At 47.5% G+C, this 6,000-nt stretch overlaps 1 annotated feature.

Moving 5' to 3' along the window:
- Positions 347-641: a silencer, noted in NCBI's record as "tiled region #4925; HepG2 Repressive DNase unmatched - State 4:PromP". NCBI's record gives its function as "represses a minimal TATA promoter and a strong SV40 promoter by Sharpr-MPRA in HepG2 cells {active_cell/tissue: HepG2}" and the evidence as "EXISTENCE:reporter gene assay evidence [ECO:0000049][PMID:27701403]".

Genomic DNA, 6,000 nt, shown 5'->3' on the forward strand with positions numbered 1-6,000 from the left:
CTGGGCTCCGTAAGCTGTCTTGAGGCTACGCAGCGTCTAAGGCGTTATCCTTAACCTCCAGCTCCCTCCGGCTTTGCTTTTCTCTCTCTTCTTGACTCTTCTGAAGTTTTTCCTTGTTCCTGTCTCTCTTCCTCCTGTCTGCTGCAGCCTCACACACCAGACAGTTCTCAAGATGTCCTTCGGGGGAGCCTCCAGGAAGGTCTGTCCCTTCTCTTTCTCGGTGCATATAATTGAGCAGTGACGTGGGAGACAGCAGCCCCCTGGGCTCTGCGCCGGGAGCCGGGAGCGCTAAAGCGAGGGCAATTGTGTATGGGGAGGTGGGGACGGGGAGCTGGGGACGTGAAGAATGAAGAGACTGGTGGAGTTTACAAGAAGTAGGAGTGGGAGTGGCGGAGGAAGGAGCGTCTTTCTTCGGGGAAGTTCCCAGGGCAATCGTTATCTGCTGGCCCCTGCCCCTCCTGGGGGGGGGGGCGTCCCAGGAAGGAGCTGGGGCTGAGTGGGACGCGGTGCCCAAGGGCGGGGCTGTGGTCGAGGGCGGAGGTGGCCTCCTCTTGGGGTGTGCCTGCCACCTAGTGGTGAACTTGGAGCAGTGCTGCTATCTGAAGTCGACTTCAATTATTCCTTCGCGATCTGTGTCTGGCCTGGTAATTCACGGTGGACTGGAAATTAGAAAATCGAATCTTACACATTGCTGATAAATACTATCTCACGGTAATATTCATTGCAATTTCAAAATGTCAAATAATTAAGACCTACTAGTTTTTAAATAATTTAAAAGACTCATGTAGTCATGTATGCATCTCACCATCAAATATTGATTATATAGGTCTCTTATATACCAGACACTGTTTTAGGTTAGGCATTGGAAATAAAGAGAACTATACAATTTATGTGAAAAAACAGGCAACTGAATCAACAATTCCAATCCAGAAGCAAAAACTCTTCAATACAGCCATGTCTGTGCTGCGCAATTGAGAATACAAAGGAGAGGCTTGGCAAGACAGGGAAACCTTCTCTCTACAATAAACAAACAAAGCCCCCCCCGCCCCCACAAAATTAGCCAGGCATGGTAGCGCGCATGTGTAGTCCCAGCTACTTGGGGGTCTGAGGTGGGAGAATACTCTGAGCCCAGGAAGTCGAGGCTGCAGTGAGAGGAGATGGCACCACTGCACCCCAGCCTGAGTGACAGAGCAAGACCTTGTCTAAAAAAGAGAAAATACAAAGGACGATTGGCATAGGGTGGTGATGGGAGAGACTTCCTCAAAAGGGTAATGGTTAGTCTCAGCACTTTGGGAGGTCGAGGTGGGTGGATCAACTGAGATCAGGAGCTCGAGACCAGCCTAGCCAACATGGTGAAATCCCATCTCTACAAAAAAAAATCCAAAAATTAGCCGGGTGCGGTGGCACACACCTGTAGTCCCAGCTACTCGGCAAGTTGAGGCAGGAGAATCACTTGAACCCAGGAGGCAAAGAGTGCAGTGAGCAGAGATCCCACCACTGCACTCCAGCCTGAGCAATGAGAGTGAAACCGTGTCTCAAAAAAAAAAAAAAAAAAAAGAAAGAAACCCAACAAAATAAAAGAAACAAATGAAGGTTGGTGGTTAGGATGAGGCTTGGAGGACATATAGGAGCCAAAGAAAAGTGATGGAGGTGATAGAGGTGGTGGTGATGGTGGTAGAAGTAGAGGTGTTGATGGAGATGAAGGTGGTGGTGGAAATGGAGGTGATGGTGGAGATGGTGGTGGTGGTGGAAGTGGAGGTGATGGTGGTGGTGGAAATGAAGGTGATGGTGGAGATGGAGGTGGTGGTGGTGGAAATAGAGGTAATGGTGGAGATGAAGGTGGTGGTGGAAATGAAGGTGATGGTGGAGATGGTGATGGTGGTGGTGGAAGTGGAGGTGATGGTGGAGATGGTGATGGTGGTGGTGGAAGCGGAGGTGATGGTGGAGATGGAGGCGGTGGTGGTGGTGGAAGTGGAGGTGATGGTGGTGGTGGAAATGAAGGTGATGGTGGAGATGGTGATGGTGGTGGTGGAAGTGGAGGTGATGGTGGAGATGGAGGCGGTGGTGGTGGAAGTGGAGGTGATGGTGGAGATGGAGGCGGTGGTGGTGGTGGAAGTGGAGGTGATGGTGGTGGTGGAAATGAAGGTGATGGTGGAGATGGTGATGGTGGTGGTGGAAGTGGAGGTGATGGTGGAGATGGAGGCGGTGGTGGTGGTGGAAATAGAGGCGATGGTGGAGATAGTGGTGGAGGTCTTGGAGGCAGTAAAGTTAAAGGCTGGAGGCCATGCAGGCTGTGGTTGTGAAGGTAGAGCTGACAGAGGTAGAAGTGGTTGCAGTGGTGATGAAGGTGGTGATGATGAGGAGAGTCGCGATTGTGGTGGTGGTTATAGTGTTGGTGAGTGTGATGATGATAGCACTGTTGTTGTTGGATGTGTTAGCTTTGGTTTTGGTGATGGTGATGAATGTGGATGGTATTGGCAGAGGTGGGTGTGGTGGTGGTGGTGATGGTGGTCATGGTGTAGTGGTAGTGGTAGTGAGGGAGCTGCAGATGGAGATAGAGGTGGAAGTCTGATCTTCAAGTCATCCATAGCTGCTGCTACCACACAGGTCACTGCTAAGCCTCCACTTGTTCCCATCTTTATGGCCTTTCCAGGGTTGGAGACTCTCATCTCTACTTCTACCCATTCTTGGTCCTCAGAAATCCTTCTACTGCTTCCATACTGCCTCAGGGCACAAAGAATTGCTGAGCAGCCATCGGAGGTGATACGTCTCTAGAGATATAAACAGCTCCCTCTCATTAGGATCTGGTCACTTCCCTGCTTCTTTTCTGGAACTCCACTTGGAGTAAGAAATTTGTTCTTCTTTGCTGTACTTTTTCCAAGATGCAACTGAGTTATTCATCAATATGGGCCTCAGGCCAGGCAGTGGGTTGCAGGGACCCTGTATTGGGAAAACACCAATGTCTGTGTTTTCTTCTTACTCTTTGTTATGTGTTAAGTATGCCCCCACCCCCAAATTCATAGGTTGAAGCTGTCGTAACCCCCAACGTGATTGTATTTGTTAAAGAGGTAATTAAGGTTAAGTAAGATTATAAGGGTCTTAATCCAGTACGATTGGTGTCCTTAGACGAAGAAGAGGCACTAGGTGCATGCCTACACAGAGGAAAGCCATGTGAGGACACAGCGATAAGATTGCTGACTGCAAGCTCAGGAGAACTTAGAAGAAACCAACCCTACCAGCACCTTGATCTTGGACTTCCAGCCTCCAGAACTGTGAGAAAGTAAATTTCTGTTGTTTAAATCACCCAGTCTATGGTAGTTTGTTATGATGACCCAAGCAGAATAATGCATACCATGATTCTCTTCCATTCTCTCAACTCAGGACATCCTTTCCCAGTGTTGGGGTGGTGGAGGGGAATGACATAGATGTTCGTGGATGGAGAGAAGGCCTTCCTGTTGTTAAGACTTTTTTCTTAGCTCCATCATCCATGTGACATGCCCTTGCATTCTTTTTAGTGTCTGGGCCAGTCTGCCATGGCTTTTCAGAAAGCAGGGCCCAAGCACACCTTTGGATTCAACCTGAGTGGGTTCTAACCAAGAATACCAGTGAACACACCCCATGGAAGGGGCCTCATCAGTAGAGGTTGTATTCCGAATACTTGTGAACATTTTTTGGTCTGAGATGAACACAGCATTCCCTCTTTGGAGCACTGTGGGCATTATATTTGCAAAAGGGAATAATGTTAGGCTCCTTCAGAAAAACAAAGTGGTGCACCAGCATCTCAGCTGTGGAAAGAGCTCAGACCTTGGTAACGTTTCAAAGTACCATGGATGTGAGGGACAGTCAGTGACCACAGAAGGAACTTGGCCAAGGAAAAAGAGACACGTAGTGTCAGGCAAAGCTCAGAAAATTTCAGAGAATTAGACTGGGAGGCAGACCATCTCAGCCTGGAGCTAGCTTACTTTTGTACTTCTTGCATGAGACAGTCCACATTCTTACTGTTTAAGCTGCTCAAAAGGGTGTTTCTGTAACTACTTGCAGTGGAAAGAAATGTGTCCAGAATCTCTCAAAACCCTGAATACCACAGTGCATTGGCAGGGCAGGCTTTATATGGCCACAAACAACAATAACACTGGAATATTCTATTCACTCATTCCCTCAGGTCATGGTTTCCTACTTGAAAGCACCATGGATAAGTCCCTTTCTGCTGTTTCTCCCCAAAACAAGGATATGCATCATGATTTCTTGAAGATTCCACCATTAGTCATAGACGGGCCTGAAAAATTGTACAAATTAGAAGGTAGTAAGGCACCTTCACTGGACCTCTGCTATATCTCTAAGTATATATTGGGATGGGGAAGGGTGAGTGAATAATTACAATAATAATTAATAAGAACAAGTTCTTTTCAGTCCGAGTTGCATTTAAGAAAAGCTATGAATTCTTCCCTGATCAGTCCAGAAATGCATCTCTGGAGCTATGGCTATTGAGTGATCTTTGTTGTAACATAGTTTTCCTTAAGTCAGATTCACTGGGAAGAGGACTGCCTTTAAGTCCAATCCAAGGGATAAACAGTTCATCAAATATAACAGTTTATTTGTCTACATGCTTCCTTCCCTTCTAGTCAGTTTAGCTTCTCCAGGGCAAGAGATTCAGCCCCTGCCTCCCTGTCTCTAGCACATGAATTCATTCAAGAAATGTTTCCCCACTACCAGGCTCCAGGATGCTTCTGTTGCATGGGAAATCAGAGACACATAGTGCCTGCTCTTCCCAAGCATTCAGACTAGTGAGAAAGGTAAGCATTAAATAGGTCATTACTCCAGTAATTACTCAATAGTGACTAGAACGAAGAGGTACGGGAGCTATAAGACTATACCATGGGAGGACCTGACCTAGTTCATAGAGTATCATGGAGGCGTCCCAGAGCAGGGACCATTTCAATAGAGACCTACAAGCTAAGGTCTTGGCATTTGGTATCCTGTTAGCAGGGGGAGGCTCTGAGCCTGGGTAAGACTGACTTAGAAAGGTACTTGGCAGGAGGTCAGAAAACCAGGCAAAAGAGGCTCAGATGAAACTGGAGTCATAAGCAGGGGCCAGAGCTTGGTGCACCTTGTAGACTATGATCAGCCATAATAGAGTCTTTGTACATGTTAGCTTCCATGCATGAATGAATGAAATATCAGAAAGGTGTCGTTCCTTAGGTACCCTTGGGTAGCCTTATGTGGGTTTCAGGGTAGCAACACAGTGGTGAAAATGTTCAAGCAAGGGTGAAGAAAGAAGTATTTCTACGTAAGCCAAGGAGGAGATAAGAATGGACATGGGCAGATTGTACACTTCTTGATGGAGCAGAGACACCCCAGGGTGGAGATAGCCTGAGTTAGATATCAGTCTTTGGTGCCTATGGAAGTGATAATGAGGTAGGATCAGGCCTACAATTCACCCGCCTCCTTCTCCTCCAAGATCCAATTCCCCTCCTCACTTTCTTAAGATACCAACATGATCTCCTGAGGGCAGGGTCTAGGGACTTTGCCCTCAGGAGATCATGCTGCCCACTTTAGAGTGCCTTGAACAGTCTCAGAGACAGACCTCCCTCTGTGCACCAGCCAGGAGGTGCTATATATACTTAACCATGGACTATTCCTGAGACTAAGACTTCTAGCATTCACCTGCAATCTCTCTTTCTAACAGTTGCAATTTTGGTGAGGTGGAAGGGGGCGGCAGAAATATTTCTATATTTGGTAGAACAGTCTAGGCTGAGATAAGGAAAGGATTCCAGTTCGAGACCAGCCTAGCCAACATGGGGAAACCCCGTCTCTACTAAAAATACAAAAATAAGCTGGGCGTGGTGATGTGTGCCTGTAATCCCAGCTACTGGGGAGGCTGAGGCAGGAGAATCGCTCAAACCTGGGAGGCAGAGGTTGCAGTGAGCTGAGATCACGCCACTGCACTCCAGCCTGGGTGACAGAGCACGACTCCATCTCAAAAAATAAAAAATAAAAAAG

Source organism: Homo sapiens, chromosome 17 (assembly GCF_000001405.40).
Source record: "Homo sapiens chromosome 17, GRCh38.p14 Primary Assembly".
In the NCBI taxonomy this organism is placed as follows: Eukaryota; Metazoa; Chordata; class Mammalia; order Primates; family Hominidae; genus Homo; species Homo sapiens.